Below are 16,351 nucleotides of genomic sequence, written 5' to 3' on the forward strand. Positions count from 1 at the left end.
AAGCAAGAATGCACACATGATTTCCTTCTAAGGCATGTTATAAATTAGGCTGCCCTAAATTCAGACTGCCTATGAGAAATTCAGGATTTTAGTTCCTAGGAACTGAAGTTAGACTAATCAACCTAACAGAGAGAAAAAAGAGAGTTTTCTAAAGAGACTAAGTGAGAGTCAATGCTAAATACAGGAATTCTAAGTCCAAAGTGACTGCTAGTGCTCACTGGGGGTCACCTATGCCTCCAGGGACAGGACGACAGGGCTTCAAGACCTCCAAGTTTAATGCCATTCCACCATCATACGAATCTGAGTGCAGACACTGTGTCATAACCACATCTCACAAAGGCAGCATCAGGTTCCCATTCAGGAATCGTACCTGGGTGTTATAGTGGATCCCACCAACAGAGTAACTGTAACCTGTGGGATTTGGAAGATTTAGGTTTTTGTGAATTCAATCTCCTTCCCTGCCATATTTGAAATTCATGCTAAAGGATGAAAATCTCAGATAAGTTAAAGCTCCTGACTTGGGGTTCTGATTCTGGCCTGCTACCTGCTGCCCTGGGAAGAGATCGACACAGGCTGCATAACTATCAAATGAGGTCAGCCTGATTTTCATAGAAAGGGCTCGTCCTGCATCTGCCTTTTCACAGGGCTCGCTTGCCAGCAGATTAGCTGGGAAGGCTGCAGTCACATTACTAAACTTGTTAGCATTTGTCCTGCAGACCGAGAATTTTACCAAGCATATTCAATGGTGTCGTTTTGAAAGAGTGCTGGCATTTCACTAGAAGAGAATTACCTGCTATGGGGTACCAAAAAATGCTTAAGCGTGGATCTGTGGCTGATGACATATTCATATTTTCATTAAAAAACAAAAAGCCTACTTCCTGCATTACCACCATCCCTTTCTCTATTCTTTCTTCTCTTCCTCGCCACCCTCAATCTCATCTCTGTTTGGAGCCTATTAAAACTGTCACAGAGCTCTTTTCCTCCTGCCTATTTGGGCGGTAATAGGTGGGGGAGCAGCTAAGAGTGCAGGCTTTGGAGTCAATCAGTTTGAATCTTGGTAACTTCTCGATGCTTCAGTTTTTGCAGAATGGAGGTAATACTTGCCTCACAGGGCTGCTGGGGAGGATTACATAAAACAATGCATGTAAAGTGCTAAAACAGTATTAAGTACACTGTACCACTCAGGGGTTAGTGGTTACTATTTTCTAGCTCCAGGGCAGTGATACACTGATTGACACAGAATAGTGTCTTGTGTTTCTCAAACATTGGTTACAGCTCCTTTGTGGGCCATGATGAGTTGTGATCAACATAACAAAAAATAATCGTTAATAGGGTAGAATAGAAATATCAGAATATGTCACTCATGGGAAGGGAACTGCTGTTTCGTGGAAATGTTGTTTCACAGAGCGCTTGTTTTAGTCAAAGGTGAAAGCTACTGGCATGGAATGCTGTCTAACCCTACAGTCAGGAAGACCATGGTCCTTCAGCAAGCAGGTCAAGTCACTCTCCTTGAAACTCTTAAATGGCTCACACTCAGCAGAAACTCCAACATCCCTCCTAAAGAGCATTAGGACCAATCTTCTCAGCCTCCTTCATTTCAACCCACCCCACACGATGTTGCAGCTACACTGGCCTTTTCTGTCTCTACAACAATCACTTCAAGGCCTTTAAGACACTTTTGTTCCCTCTGCCTGGAAGATTTTTACCTCAGTATTTCAAGAGCTGGCTCTTGTGTGCTTCAAGTCAAGTGCCACTCCTTCAGAGACCTTTGCTGAACCCCCAACACTGTAACTCCTTCCCCTTTCCACCCTCAAGGGGTGCTACCCACCCTGGTGCCTCCTAAAGTTGTACAAGGTATTTATCCTGCCCAGAGCAGCCTTAATTTTCCCTAATGATAGCCACTTAGAATGTGTTGTAGTCTTTGGCTTTTAAATCATCTGAAAATAAGAGAAAACCCAATGTCCCTTCCAGTTCTAAACTACTGTTTTTGAAATTAAAGTCTTCCAGAAACTCTTAGTATAAGACCATCATTTTTCTTTCACTCATCAAACACAGAACATTCATTTTATTGAAATTAATTTTCTTATTACCCAAAACTTACCCCTTTAGAGCATATGTTTTCTTTAAAAAGTTTACATATACGTGAGTGGAAATCTTTCTAAAATTGACTATCTGCTATCAATAGGAAGATACTACACATACTTTCACTTTTTATTAGGGCTTCAGATGTTTTTGGCAATTTCACTTCTTTAACTACAGCTATAACAGGGCAGGGCCCTTGTGGGCATATCAGAAGGCCACATCTGGACCTGCTTTGGGCAGCTCCTCTCTCGACTGCGCCCTCTCATTTCTGCCTCAATTTCTTGCAGTACATCCTGAGCTGAGATACTAAATGACCGAGTCTGCAGGAACTATGTATAAAGCGATCTGCGTATAGGCCTCAAATATGCTTCCAGGAATAAAGTTTTTGTTTACTTCCCAGTTCTTGCTCTATTTGAGTAGTGGAGCCAACAGATCATAACCCCTAGACACAACTTAACACACTGGCAGGCCAGGGTACTACCCTGCTTAGCTCAGGCAGGACTGCTGAAAAGTCTGCTGGAAAACAGCAGCTTCTATGACCTTTTCTATCTCTGTGAAGCTCTGGTTCCCCTCCAGCAGTTAATCTGAATGGGGCAGACTTACAACCCAGATTTTTACTAGTTTCCTGGAAAAGCGTCATGGAGTCACTCACCTTAGAGTCTGAATTCTGCTAAGTCACCATCCACTTCAAAAACGAGTTAACTGAATCCAAAGGCCTAAAAACAGAATCTTGGGGGAGGGGGACAAAGACAACAGGGGGTCTGTAAGAGCATTTATGTAACTAGGAACATCTGTTTTGGGGGCTCTTTCGTAGTATTGTGTGGAAATAAGTTCAACTACTAAACTCTAACCATAAAACAGACACAAAAATCTAATACAGAAAGCTCTTTAGAGATCATCCATCAGAGTAGAACCTTAGTCATAGAAACTCGCTCAGAACATACCAATCTAAATAACCAAACTTTCCAAGTGCCAATAAAGATATATCAAATATGAACTCTTTTGGCTATAAGTCTGAGGCTCATTACATCCTTCTCTGTCTTTTTAAACCATGTCTGAGAAACAGAACCATTAAGTGGAGATTAAGTCATCACTCATTCAGTTTCACTACACACCAGTGATAACTTAGCCACACAGATATTACCAAAGTGACCCAAACTCATATGCTGTCCCAGTGCAGGCCTGTCTCCTTCTAAAAACTATCATCAAGATTTCAAACATCATATGAAATGTAAAAACATGCATGGGGGCTTTGTGGCATTTATTTTGATCTGACACCAACTTTTGCTATTCTCCCAAATCCTTAATATGTTCAGATATGTTGTTGCCAGACGCCCCCAGTACCTGCCCAACTGGCAAATCCAGAGGCTTCTTGTCCTTCCCCACCTCTTGAAAGCCTGCCATCATTCTTCCTACACACAGCAATACTACTAACTCCCACATCAAATTTCTAGGAAATTAATTAAGATTACTTTTTCAGTTGATGGTAAAGTATGTAATCTCAAAGAAAATGCTGAAACCTGAAAGGTTGCAGGGGGAATGAATTCTACCACTTCTGGTAGAATTTACCGATTTTCATAAGTTACAGAGTATTAAGTATTAAGGTATTCTGAAACAATTAAAAATTGTTAAAAAATACAACTAAAAGAATCTATATATATAAACATGCAATTCAAAACACCAAATGATAGGGTTTTTTAATTAGTCTTACCAAATGAGGAAACTGTGGTCCAAAGAATTTAAGTTCTGTTTTTCTTTTCTTTTTTTTTTTTTTGAGACGGAGTTTCACTCTTGTCGCCCAGGCTGGAGTGCAATGGCGCAATCTCAGGTCACTGCAACCTCTGCCTCTCAGGTTCAAGTGATTCTCCTGCCCCAGCCTCCCTGGTAGCTGGGATTACAGGCATGTGCCACAACTCTCAGCTAATTTTGTATTTTTAGTAGAGAGGGGGTTTTCACCATGTTGGTCAGGCTGGTCTTGAACTCCTGACCTCAAGTGATCCACCTGCCTCGGCCTCCCAAAGTGCCGGGATTACAGGCGTGAACCATCACGCCCAGTCTTTAGTTCTGTTTTCTAAGCTCACACAACCCGGGGTGACCCCAGGTCTTCGACTCTGATCTTCAGACTAAAGCTCATTAATAAAATGTATGTCGACTTTGAAACTAATTGTGTTTTTACCAAATATCCAGTCACAGGATGATAACAGAGATACTAAATGATGAAAACTATGGCTTAAGAGCAAAGAAAATCCTGACCTTTTAAAAACTTGGCTAAATCTTGGGTGCTGGCAAGTATCTTATAAACCACAATGATAGCCAGCTTTGGACAAAGTTTACAGACAAAGGAGAACACAGCTAAAAGGATAGAAAAAGTGGGAAACACTTCCACTTCTAATCAAGATGGAGTAACAGGGGCTAAATTTACCCTCCTACCTGAAAAACCAAAAAACAAAAAAAAAAAAGAGAGAGGAAGAGAAAATATATGAAAGAATAATTTTCAAGACACTGCGTATCAGATAAGAAAGGATCCCTGAGAAACGGGGGAAAATCAGTGGGCCCTACAATTGCCCCCACTTACTGCCTGGGGAGAGGCTCCAGGTCATGGGCAGGAAGGTGAAGAAGAGCCCAGTGGACTCCCTGGGTGGAAGAGATGGAGCTGAAGGTCCGGGGAAACCATTTACAATAGAACTGAAACATGAGAAACATTCAGGGATAACATGACAAAAAAGATGTGAAAGACCTATACACGAAAAACTACAAAACACTGCTGGGAGAAATGAAAGATGTAAGTAGAGTGGAGAGATATTCATATACTTGAAGACTCAATATTGTTGAGATGTTAATTTTTCCCAAACTGATCTACAGATTCAATGCAATCCCAATAAAAAACCCCAGCAGGGTTTTTTTGTTTTAAGTAGAAATTGCCAATCTGGTTCTAAAATTCACGTGGAAATTCAAAATATCCAGAAGAGTCAAACCAGTTGAAAAAGAATAAAGCTAGAGAGCTAATACTACATGATCTCATGGCTTATTATAAAGATTCAGCAATCAAAAGAGTATGCCATTAGCCAGGTGAGGTGGCACATGCCTGTAAGTCCCAGCTACTTGTTAGGCTGGGGCAGAGGTTTGTTTGAGCCCAAGAGTTCTAGGACAGCCTAGGCAGCATAGCAGAACCTCATCTCTTAAAAATAAAAATAAGGCCAAGCACAGTGGCTTAAGACTGTAATCCTAGCACTCTGGGAGGCCAAGGCAGGCGGACTGCCTGAGCTCAGGAGTTCAAGACCAGCCTGGCCAACATGGCGAAACCTCACCTCTACTAAAAACACAAAATTAGCCAGGCGTGGTGGCGCATGCCTGTGATCCCAGCTACTTGGGAGGCTGAAGCAGGAGAATCACTTGAACCTGGAAGGTGGAGGTTGCACTTAGCTGAGATTGCACCGCTGCACTACAGCCTGGGCCATAGAGTGAGAACTCTGTCTCAAAAAAAAATAAAAAATAAAAAAAGAGAATGAAAACAGACTGAGAGGAAATATTTGCAAAGTTTGCAAAGCATGTGTCTGATAATACTTACATCCAAAATATAGAGAACGCTCAAAACTCAATAGTTTTAGAACAGACAAATGATTTTAACACACTTCACAAAAAAGATACACACATGACAAATCGGCACATAAAAAGATACTCAACATCACTGATCTTCAGGAAAATGCAATTTAAAAATACAACAACGTACCACCACACTCCTATTAGAGTAGCTAAAATTAAAGAGACTGCCCATACCGGTGTTAACAAGAATGTGGATGAACTGAACTGGCATACTCTGCTAGTGAGAATGCAAAATGGTATAACCACCCTGGAAAAGTTTGGTATTATAGTTTCCTTAAAAAGTTAACAACACGCTACTCCTAGGGTAATAAGATGAAGAAAAGCATTAGTCCATACATACAAACTTGTATGTTAATGTTCATATAATTTTTTTATAATAGTGAAAAACTGAATGCAACACAAATGGTGAATGTATAAACAAACTGGTATAACCATGGAATGAAATATTACTCAGCGACGAAAAGGAATGAACTACTGACACATGTAACAACATGGATGGATCTCAAAATATTTATGTAGACTCTAAGAAGGCAGACCAAAAGAGGATATGCTGGATGATTTCCTAGGTATATGAAACTAGATATCAAATGCAAACTATGATTTCTTAAATATGAAAATCTAGAAAATGCAAACTACAGAAAGCAAATCAGCTGCATGGGATGGCCAGAGGAAGAAATTACCAAAGGGGCATGATGACATTTTTGGAGATAATGAATATACTTATTATCAGAGGTGATTTTATGATGTATACATATATCAAAACTTACCAAATTGTACATTTTAAATATGTGCAGTTAACTTTATGTTAATTATAACTCAATAAAGCTGTTAAAATGTTTTTTTAAAAACACCTGATTATATCATGAAATGTAGAAACAGAGTACTAATTAGCAAGCTCGTTAGGATATGGTCTTTCCAGTAATACCAGCAATATCAGTAATGCTTCATATACAGTTTTCTAACTTTAAGAATATATTCAGATGCCTTGACAGTATGTAAAAATGTTCAGAAACATAAATAGTGATGTTAGAGGCTCAATTAATATTGTGACATCTTTTCTGAACATACAGAGTCTTACTGAATGTTACTCAGGTTTATGCTTCAAAATGAAACTACAGACAGTACCAATCAATGAGTACATCTGCTAATACCATACTTCTAGACAGTAGGGTCTTAACATGGAGGAATTCAACCATGATATGGTAGGTCACAGTAACTGATAAGTCTTAAAAGATTTTTTCTGTAGGAGATAGGTATAGAAGACTAATACACTTTTTTTCGATTCTACTTTTCTCATGCTTTTAAAGTACAACATAACCTCTACTTTTTGAGAACTAGACAAAGACTTCTACAAGCTGGCTAAACCTATTCACTGCATTTACAACACTAAACTGCACAATAACCTTCACATACTATCCAATGGTATTTCTCACCTTTCCTCCTTTGTTACACTGTTCTTTTGACCATAATGCCTTCCTTTCTCCCCTTCATCTAATTAATGACCACACACTCTTTAAGGCAGTTTCTCAAAGGTGGTGTCTGAAGGAAAACCAGAATCAACTGAAGTGCTCTCCCCCTCTCTCTCTAGCATACACGCATGCACACACGTGCAAAGGGCACAAGGGAACTTCTGGGGGTGGGTAGGGGTTAACGGACAATAAATGCTGTTGAATCAATGTCCAGTGACAGCTAAAAAAGATAGAGAGATGCGACAACTTTGCTTTTTGTGTTACAGAATACGCTATGACCTATAGAAGGAACCTGAATCTTTGTAATGCCTATTAAGAAATAATTAATTTGTGCTCTATATCTTATTTTAAGAAGCCTAGCCTGAGCCTGTGTCAATGCGTTTTTGAAGCGCAACTTAGAAATACGATCTAAACAGCTTGAGCCTGGGAGGCTGCGGCTGCAGCACACTGTGATGGTGTCACTGCACTCTAGCCTGGGTGACAGAGCAAGAAAGACCCTGTCTCAAAATAAATAAATAAATAAATAAATACATAAATACATAATATTAAAAAAAAGAAAAGAAATACAATAAAAAATTACTGTTAATGGAATATAATTGTATCTGAACAAGCAAGTTTCAGTTAACTGTAAAAAAAAACCAAAAAACCCTACATATGTGGAATGTTTCATTCCTCAATGACCACAGCTATTTAAATAAGATATACTGGATGTTTTAAATTTTCTAAGTAAATGGTTTAGGCTATTTGTGAGATTTTACTTAACAGGCTAGGCACCTGCAAACCACCTCACTAATATTACCCCATTTAATCTCAATAACCCTGCAAGGAAGGTAGTATTGTCCTCATTTAATAGATGACAAAATTGAAGTTGGGAGAGTAAGCAACTTGCCCAAAGCTATAGAGAACCTTCAATTTGACTCAAATAATTGTGTTTTTGTCCATTCTAAATTTATCACTCAAGACTGTATTTTTAAATAGGATCATACACTTATTCATTAATAAGCTAGGCATTTTCTTTTTTCTTTCCTTTTTTTTTTTTTTTTTTTTTTTTTTTAAAGAGATGGGGTCCCACTTGGTCATCCAGGCCAAAGTGCAGTAGTGGCATGATCCCAGCTCACTGCAGCCATGAACTCCTGGGCTCCAGTGATCCTTCCACCTCAGCCTCCCAAGTAGCTGGGATTACAGGCACAAGCCACCATGCCTGGCAAGCTATGCATTTTCTTTTTTTTTTTTTTGAGATGCAGTCTCGCTCTGCCGCCCAGGCTGGAGTGCAGTGGCGCGATCTAGGCTCACTGCAAGATCCGCCTCCCGGGTTCACGCCATTCTCCTGCCTCAGCCTCCCGAGTAGCTGGGACTACAGGTGCTCGCCACCACACCTGGCTAATTTTTTCTTTTGTATTTTTAGTAGAGACAAGGTTTCACCATGTTAGCCAAGATGGTCTTGATCTCCTGACCTTGTGATCTGCCTGCCTCGGCCTCCCAGCTATGCATTTTCTAAATAGTCACTTCAGCATTCTGAACCTAGCATAGGCAAATTGGAAGTTCAAACTCAATGGATGATATATCAGCCCTTAATAAATCTCATCTCTGTTTTACACATAAGAACATGCTCATAAAGATTAAAGATACATTGCATTTTCCTCTCAAAGTTCACATGGACTTTTCTGCTAACTAGAGGACAATTTACCTTCTTGCCTTCAAGAGCCACTGCACTGGGTTACAAACTTAGAAGTAAAAGTTTAGTTTTAAATGTTGTTTTCTGACCCTCTACAACCTATACAGTTTGAAATCTGTAAAAAGAAATTCAATGAAATTTATGATTGTAAATAACCCAAAACCTGGTATAATGTTTAAGGACTGGACCTGGAGTCAGACAGATTTCAATGCTGATGATATGTCTGCCACTAAGTAGCTGAAAAGGTCTGGCAGGCAGCTAACACTGGAGTCATCAGAAAAAATCAAGTCATATTTGTTACATTTACATCATAGATTTCCCAGATCTGTCTTTTAATGTGCATATCTAAGTTACAAACAAAACCCATATCTGAAAAGCTGCATGTGAACTGTGCAGAAGGGCTTACTTGTTTGTATTCTCAGCAGGCAACAGGGCACCCAGGAATATCCCCCTTACCTCTCCTCATCCTGGGGCAAAATAGGTATCTCCCTGGAACCTAAGAGTTGGAACTTCTGTTTCCCACAGAAGCAGCACAGTAAATGGTGGCTAGAGTTAGGACCTGTCATATTAAAGGTGAAACAGGCATCTGTAGGCTGATCTTGGAGCTTCTCACAGGAAAATACCTGAGTTCCAAAAAGCCAGCATACACGCACCTCTGTAAGACAATCCACTTCAGCCTTGGATGAGAACACAAACTGAACCCCAAATCCAAGGTTCTTTCTGGTGTGAAGAGACAAACACTATCCTAGTAAGTAGAGCTGAGCATTTCTAAAGTGGCAGCCTCTCCTTCCAACCATACCTATGGCGCGTTTTAAGTTCATTTTTGTCTTTTTTTTAATCCAAGTCCATGGCTCTATAAGTGCAACAGTAAGCAAAAAAAGCAGCATTTTGATATGATGCCCATAAAGCCCAACATATCACATCCAAAACACCACTTTCTGTCCTGCGGGCCATTCTTCATCTCCACGTGGCACACCATCCACCACACCCACTTTTATCTACCACACACACTTTTATCTGCGCAGCCTGTTTCTCAGTTATTTCTCAAGGCTTCTGCACACAAACAAGCTCTCTTGCATCTGAGCCACTAGGCTTCTGACCTGTCTTCACACTTCTATTCAGAATGTGTACCAGTGAGCTCCTACTATGTGCAAAGATTAGTGCTAACCTGTTCTTTTTCACGAGGCTCACCTCATTGAATAAATAAATCTGAGACTGTGGCCTTCAAACTCTTCAACTGTGAACCATAGTAAGAAATAATTTACATGCAATCCAATGCACAAGCCTACCCTTCACACACCTCCTCAGAAGATAACTCAGAAGTTTTACATAATATTCTTACTATGGTATGATAAATTAATATTCTTCACCCTATTCCATTTAATATTTTAAAAAGTCCTGTTGGCAAAGAGATATTAGCACTCCAATGTTCATCGAAGTTATTCACAATAGCCAAGATGTAGAGACAACTAAACGTTCACTGACAGAAGAATGAAGAAAATGTGGTACATACAAGCAATGGAATATTATTCAGCCTCAAAAAAGAAAAAAAAAAAGAAAATCCTACAGTATGGGACAATTTAGATGACCCTTGAGGACATTATGTTAAGTGAAATACATCGGTCACAGAAGGACAAATACTGCTTAATTCTACTTATATCAAGTACTAAAGTAGTCAAACTCATAGAATCAGAAAGCAGAATTGTTGCCAGGAGCTAGGTGGAGGGGAAAATTGAGGAACTGCTAATCGGTGAGCATGGTTTCAATTATGCAAGATAAACTAGTTCTAGAGATCTGTAAAACATTGCCCCTGTAGTTAACAATACTATATTTGTGCACTTAAAAATCTGTTAAGGAGGTAGAGCTCATGTTAAGTGTCTTGCCACACACACACACACACACACACACACACACACACACAAAAGTCCTGGTTGGAATCTTCTAAATGTATGTCAACCCACTACTGAATCATGACCTGCAGTCTGAAAAATAATGCTCTTACAAAAGGGTGATTAGATTCACATGATGATGCCGCTAGAGGAATGGTTACAGGCATCAGCAAATACTTAGGCATGATGAGACCCTCCCATCCTCACCCCACAAAAAAAAGTCACACCTTCTCTCTGCATATAAGAGATGTAGAGAGGTGGCCAGGCACACTGGCTCATGCCTGTAATCCCAGCACTTTGGGAGGCCAAGGCAGGTGGATCACCTGAGGTCAGGAGTTCGAGACCAGCCTGGCCAACATGGTGAAACCCCGATTCTACTAAAAATACAAAAATTAGCCGGGCATGGTGTTGGGTGCCTTATAATCCTAGCTACTCAGGAGGCTGAGGCAGGAGAATCACTTGAACTCTGGGAGGCGGAGGTTGCGGTGAGCCGAGATCACGTCATGCACTCCAGCCTGGGTGACAAGAGCGAGACTCCGTCTCAAAAAAAAGAAAAAAAGAAATGTAGAGAGGTACCACAATGGAGAATTAGTATCTGCATCCCAGATCAAGGGCGGGAGGTAGAACAAGCGCGGGGGAGACCAAGGTTTCACTGAAGTGCCATGGCAGGAGGAAAAAGTAGAGTGGGGCTTCTTTTTCTTTAATCACCTAGGCAGTCTTCACAATCTTAATTCTTTCCTTTGTGTCGGGCAACTGTCAACACTTCAGGGCAGGAATGTTATTCTTCTCAAAAATTCTATACTCCACCCAGAGACATAACTGAAGCAAATTTAAAATAATAAAAAATGAGCAGCGGGTTATGCTTTTCTTCTAAGATGAGTTTTCCACCTCAGTTTGTTTACTCCCCACTCCAAAAGACATTAATATGTTAGTAGGGTGGGGGGGCGGTGGGGGAACAAAGGAACTTGTGGAAAACAAAATAGTCTAGGGAAACAGAAAGGATAGATCATAAAACAGTAAAATGCTGGTAAAAGCAGCATTTCAAATGAGGTTTAAAAAATCAATTTATAGCTTTGTATTTAATTTATGACAGAGTATTTGGAACAAGAAATGTGAAGGTATAGTCTTAACAGTCACTAAAGAAAGTTTTCAGTGAACATCATTTACACATTTTAAGGTAAGAGCAGTGTTATCAAATCTTTTTTTGGGGTAGGGGGCTAGGGTCTCACTGTCACCCAGACTAGAGTGCAGTTGAACAATCACGGCTCACTGCAGCCTCAAACTCCCAGGCTTAAGCGATCCTTCTATCTCAGCCTCCCGAGTAGTTGGGGCCACAGGCACATGCCACTAATTTTTTATTTTTGGTAGAGATGGGGTCTCGCTATATTGCCCAGGCTGGCCTTCAACTCCTGGGCTCAAGCAATCCTCCTGCCTGGGCCTTCCAAAGTGTTGGGATTACGGGCCACCACGCCCAGCCATTATTAGAGTCTTAATACAATACCAAAGTCTAATTCTCCACAGATCTGCTCAGCGTAATTTTTTCAAGAAGTGTTATGACCTGGCTGAAATGCTGGGTCCAATTTTCTCTCCTTTATAGATGCATAATACAAGTTTGCATTATGGCCACTCTTTTCCAAGCCCCTTGATCTTTTGGAGTGGGAAGGAGGTAAACCTATTGCAAATCTCTCCATGAAAGCCTGTTAAAGCAGAGACACGTACTTCAAGGCTCTACTCTTCAGCTCTTCCCACTTCAATTTACCCAACAACTACAAAAGTTACTTAAAATAGGTAGTTCTAAATGCTCTTCCTGCCAACAGGAGAGGCCTTTTTTAAAAGGGTAAGATTAAGGATTCCTGGAGTGTCTTGCAGGAATACACCAAATGGGACAAAGATGGATAAGGGGTGGTGGGGGGTGGGGTGTTGTCTCCAGAAGGAGTTGCTGAGCTCCAACTGTGCTGCAAATTTCCTGTTGATGTAGTTCTACCTGGGACAATGACTACCAAAGACTTGAACTGCCTGTCTTTGTAGAGAGACCTAGTTAAATGTCAAAAGCAGCACAGGGCCCGGCACATTGGCTCATGCCTGTAATCCCAGCACTTTGGGAAGCCGAGGCGGGTGAAAAGTCAGGAGTTTGAGATCACCCTGACCAACATGGTGAAACCCTATCTCTACTAAAAATACAAAAATTAGCTGGGCGTGGTGGCAGGCACCTGTAATCCCAGCTACTCAGGAGGCTGAGGCAGGAGAATTGCTTGAACCCGGGAGGCTGAGGTTGCAGTGAGCCGAGATCACACCATTGCACTCCAGCCTGGGCGACAGAGCAAGATTCTGTCTCAAAAAAAAAGAGCAGCACAAAAAAATGTCAAACTTTGAACTGCTCTACAATGACTAGTTACCATACAGTGGGAACTTGAAATAGTAGTTCATTCACTCATTCATGCCACAAGGACCTGATGCCAACTACACCAGGCACAAGGCTGGGCTCTAGGAAAACAGAGGTGAACAAGCATAATGTCCCTGCCCAATTTCGTCTTACATTTTCCTGTGACACACAATACAAAAATGAATATACAAAATGGCAGATGCTGTAAAGAAACTATGAACTTTACAGTAAAACTGAAGAATCATCACCAAAACACATGCTGTGCTTTTTCTGTTCAAAGAAGTGTGACAAACCACTTTTTGTAGAAATGTGAATTACTAGTCATCATACTTTCCTAATTTAAAACAGCACAATTTCTTCAGCTGTAGGAGGTAGAATCCCAATCTTAGAAAAAAAAAAAAAACTAACTTTTTGAAAGGAGATATTCTGCACTGGTGTAACAGCACGTCAGCACTTAGGCCAAGATTGATAACAACACTGGCCAAAAGATAAACAATTTACACAGGTGGCAAGCCATCTAAGGCAAAAGCTAAAAACAAAAACAGAGATGGACTTCTCAAGAAGTCATTTAATGTGTACTGCATACACACGTAATTTTCAAAAACAGAAAGGGAAGGCACAAAAAGTTTTGGCAGATGACACTAAATCAACAGTTTTAACATTGCTGCATTCCAGATCATTCCAATAAACAATGGTTCAACCTACTGAGAATCTAGAGACATTTCATCTCTAGGCAGAACACTGGTTTGTAAAGTTTAGTTGCTGGACCTAGGCCATGGAAAGACACAAGCAAATCCTAATGTTGAAACTCTAAATGCATTCCCACTTAGAATTAAACAGGAAAGGGAAGGTTCCTCCCCCATGTAGGAAACTGAGCCGTAATTTACTGGTTTCAATTTATAGCTATGAAGTGTGTGTGTTTTGGAGGGGAGGGAAGATGAGAAGTTGGAGAGGTTTAAGGAAAAGACACCTGCATGAGGTAGGGCAGAAGTGGACATCCTGAAGACCTGATTTCTAAAAGCAGCAGGCCTACTAGGAAAACTTAAATCTCTTTCATATTGACCGCAAAAGCGAATTTTGAGCCTGTAAGGTGGATCATGGTAGTTGCCGGTCTGCAGATACACTAGGTTGAAGACTCGCAGCACCTAATGTCACTTTTTCATGCTCACGCCCTCCCAGCGCCCAATCCGTGTTTATGGAATGAAGGGGAAAACCCAAAAGAATGAATGAACAAGAAAGGAGTCTAGTCAGGAGGATGGCCCTGGACGCGGACTAGGCGAAAGCAGGGACGATGCTCCCGGGGCCGGGAGGCGCTCGAGGACCCCCGGGCGCAGTGGAGAACGCGGACCGCGATAGGGCCGGGGGCGTAGGGCAAGACAAAGGCAGCGCGGGCGGCCAGACACGGGTGCCCGGCGGGGACGGGGACCGCGGGCGCTCACCTCATCGCCCCACTTGAGAACGTCCTTGTGCCGGTCCTTGACGGCGTGGTAGATGTGCAGGAACTGGAGGATCCCGTGCCGCCGCACGTGGTCGGCATGGCGCTTGGTTTCCTCCCAGCTCAGCGGCGAGCCCTGGGACAGCAGCCCCATGGCCGCCCCCTCCTCCTCCTCCTCCTCCTCCGGGCTGACGGCGGTCGCCCGCTCCGGGCGCGAGACGGACACTCAGCCGCCCGCAGAAGGCGGCTGCCGCTCCACCCCGCGGGGGCGCTCTCGGGCCGCAGTCGGCGGAGGGAGGGTCCTGCCCGCTCCGGCTCCCCGGCGGCGGCCCCTGGCGCCCAGGTGACAGACCCTGGGTCCGACGCACCGCGCGGAGGCGAAGGCAGAAGACCGAGAGCAGGCGGGACGGCTCTCGGCCCGGCGGCCTCGCCCTCCCCGCTGCTCCTCCTCCCGCTCCGATGCGGCGGCGGCGGACCCCACGGCCGCGCTGCCGCGGCGGCTCCCGCTTCTCTTTGCCGGTCTGGTGCACTGGCTTCTTCCTACTTGTGACCAAAACCTGCGCCGCCGCGGAGCATGCCCAGTCTTTGCGTCCGCTAGCTCGCCGCTCCTGGGCGCGATCCTGCGCTCCAGGTTTTATAGACTACGGGCGAAGGCGGGGAGAGGAGGCGGTGCAGCGGCGGAGGCGTGGCCTGAAGCCCGGTGGGAACCGCGGGGGCTCAGGAGGCGTGTGCAAGGGTGATTGGGTCGCAGTTGAGGGGAGCAGCTCGCGAGAAGGGGGCGTGCGGTCGGCCTCGCTTTACGCAAACGCGACATATCAAAATGCATTTTTTTTCCTAATCAGAAGAGATAAACTTGGGATTCGGGAAGAAAGTTGATTATTTGAATCAATGACGAACTCACCATATTATGTTTTAGTTGGACAGGGCCTCACACTTAGAGTGAGAGCGGCAGAATGTGTTGAGAAAAGTATTAACATGGTAGTGAAGTGAAACAGTTCAACTCTAGGCTCCATCACTTACTGACTGTGAGACTTGGGACGAGTTCTTCCCATATCTGCATAAAATTAGATTAATTCTATCTTTTATAGATGTCGTAATTATGTGCATAGTGTACATGTGTATAGTGTTGGCCAAAAAATTGACCTGGTTATTAAGAGGAATCAATTTGTCAACATGTGTAAATCATTATTCCCTACTGTCTTGATTAACTGGTGACCTATGTTCTCTGGATGGCACGGACACCATTTATTGCAAAAAGTCTCCAGACAGACCATATGAGGAACCATCTCCAAAAGTTTATCCTCCATCTAAACCTAAAATTCATCCCTTAAGTGATCAAAATGACGTTCTTGTGAGCCTACCGTGGGGTGGGGTTGAAGATAGTGGGAACACCTAGAGTTGGCCTTATCTCGGAGGGAAAGGAGAGGAAGGAGGTACCGTGCCCCCAAGTGATTGTTTAATAAATATGTGTTGACAGAGCAATGACCTGTCAGGGGAAAAGTGAAGGCAACTAGATCATACATGTACCTACCCAGAAAGTGTGTATTTATCATACCCTCTTCCCTCGCACTACAGAGTTAACATTTAGTAAGCACTTATTAATTGCTAAATGAGTGAGTACATGATAGCAGGATTCTCTTCTCCCACAGCCTTCATATTGGATGTGCCCCTCACAGGGCTTGGGGGCATGAATACCCAAGGTCTGGCTGGGATTTCCACAATGGTGTGTGTGTGTGTCTGTGTGTCTGTGTGTGTGTGTCTGTGTGTGGTAGGGATGTTTGAAGCTCAGGAGAAGATGTTTCCATCCTCATCACA

The 16,351-nt window shown here is 42.6% G+C and overlaps 1 protein-coding gene across 2 annotated transcripts in view, besides 4 other annotated features; it reads right to left on the minus strand.

Annotated features, from left to right (window-relative positions):
* Positions 1-15,146, minus strand: part of GCLC (glutamate-cysteine ligase catalytic subunit) — a 47,761-nt gene extending 32,615 nt beyond the window's left edge. For both annotated transcript variants that reach the window (NM_001197115.2, NM_001498.4), the window contains exon 1: positions 14,541-15,146. In NM_001197115.2, the coding sequence (NP_001184044.1) occupies positions 14,541-14,690 (150 nt within the window). In that variant the 5' untranslated portion in view covers positions 14,691-15,146. The remainder of the gene's footprint in view (positions 1-14,540) is intronic.
* Positions 12,254-12,891: an enhancer, noted in NCBI's record as "OCT4-NANOG-H3K27ac hESC enhancer chr6:53407007-53407644 (GRCh37/hg19 assembly coordinates)". NCBI's record gives its function as "activates a minimal SCP1, AML or CMV promoter by ChIP-STARR-seq in naive H9 embryonic stem cells {active_cell/tissue: H9 hESC(naive)}" and the evidence as "EXISTENCE:reporter gene assay evidence [ECO:0000049][PMID:30033119]".
* Positions 13,830-14,571: an enhancer, noted in NCBI's record as "H3K27ac hESC enhancer chr6:53408583-53409324 (GRCh37/hg19 assembly coordinates)". NCBI's record gives its function as "activates a minimal SCP1, AML or CMV promoter by ChIP-STARR-seq in naive H9 embryonic stem cells {active_cell/tissue: H9 hESC(naive)}" and the evidence as "EXISTENCE:reporter gene assay evidence [ECO:0000049][PMID:30033119]".
* Positions 14,410-14,469: an enhancer, noted in NCBI's record as "active region_24698". NCBI's record gives its function as "activates an Ori minimal core promoter by ATAC-STARR-seq in GM12878 lymphoblastoid cells {active_cell/tissue: GM12878}" and the evidence as "EXISTENCE:reporter gene assay evidence [ECO:0000049][PMID:35858748]".
* Positions 14,690-15,119: a silencer, noted in NCBI's record as "silent region_17291". NCBI's record gives its function as "represses an Ori minimal core promoter by ATAC-STARR-seq in GM12878 lymphoblastoid cells {active_cell/tissue: GM12878}" and the evidence as "EXISTENCE:reporter gene assay evidence [ECO:0000049][PMID:35858748]".

The sequence above is a fragment of the Homo sapiens genome, chromosome 6, assembly GCF_000001405.40.
Source record: "Homo sapiens chromosome 6, GRCh38.p14 Primary Assembly".
Classification (NCBI taxonomy): Eukaryota; Metazoa; Chordata; class Mammalia; order Primates; family Hominidae; genus Homo; species Homo sapiens.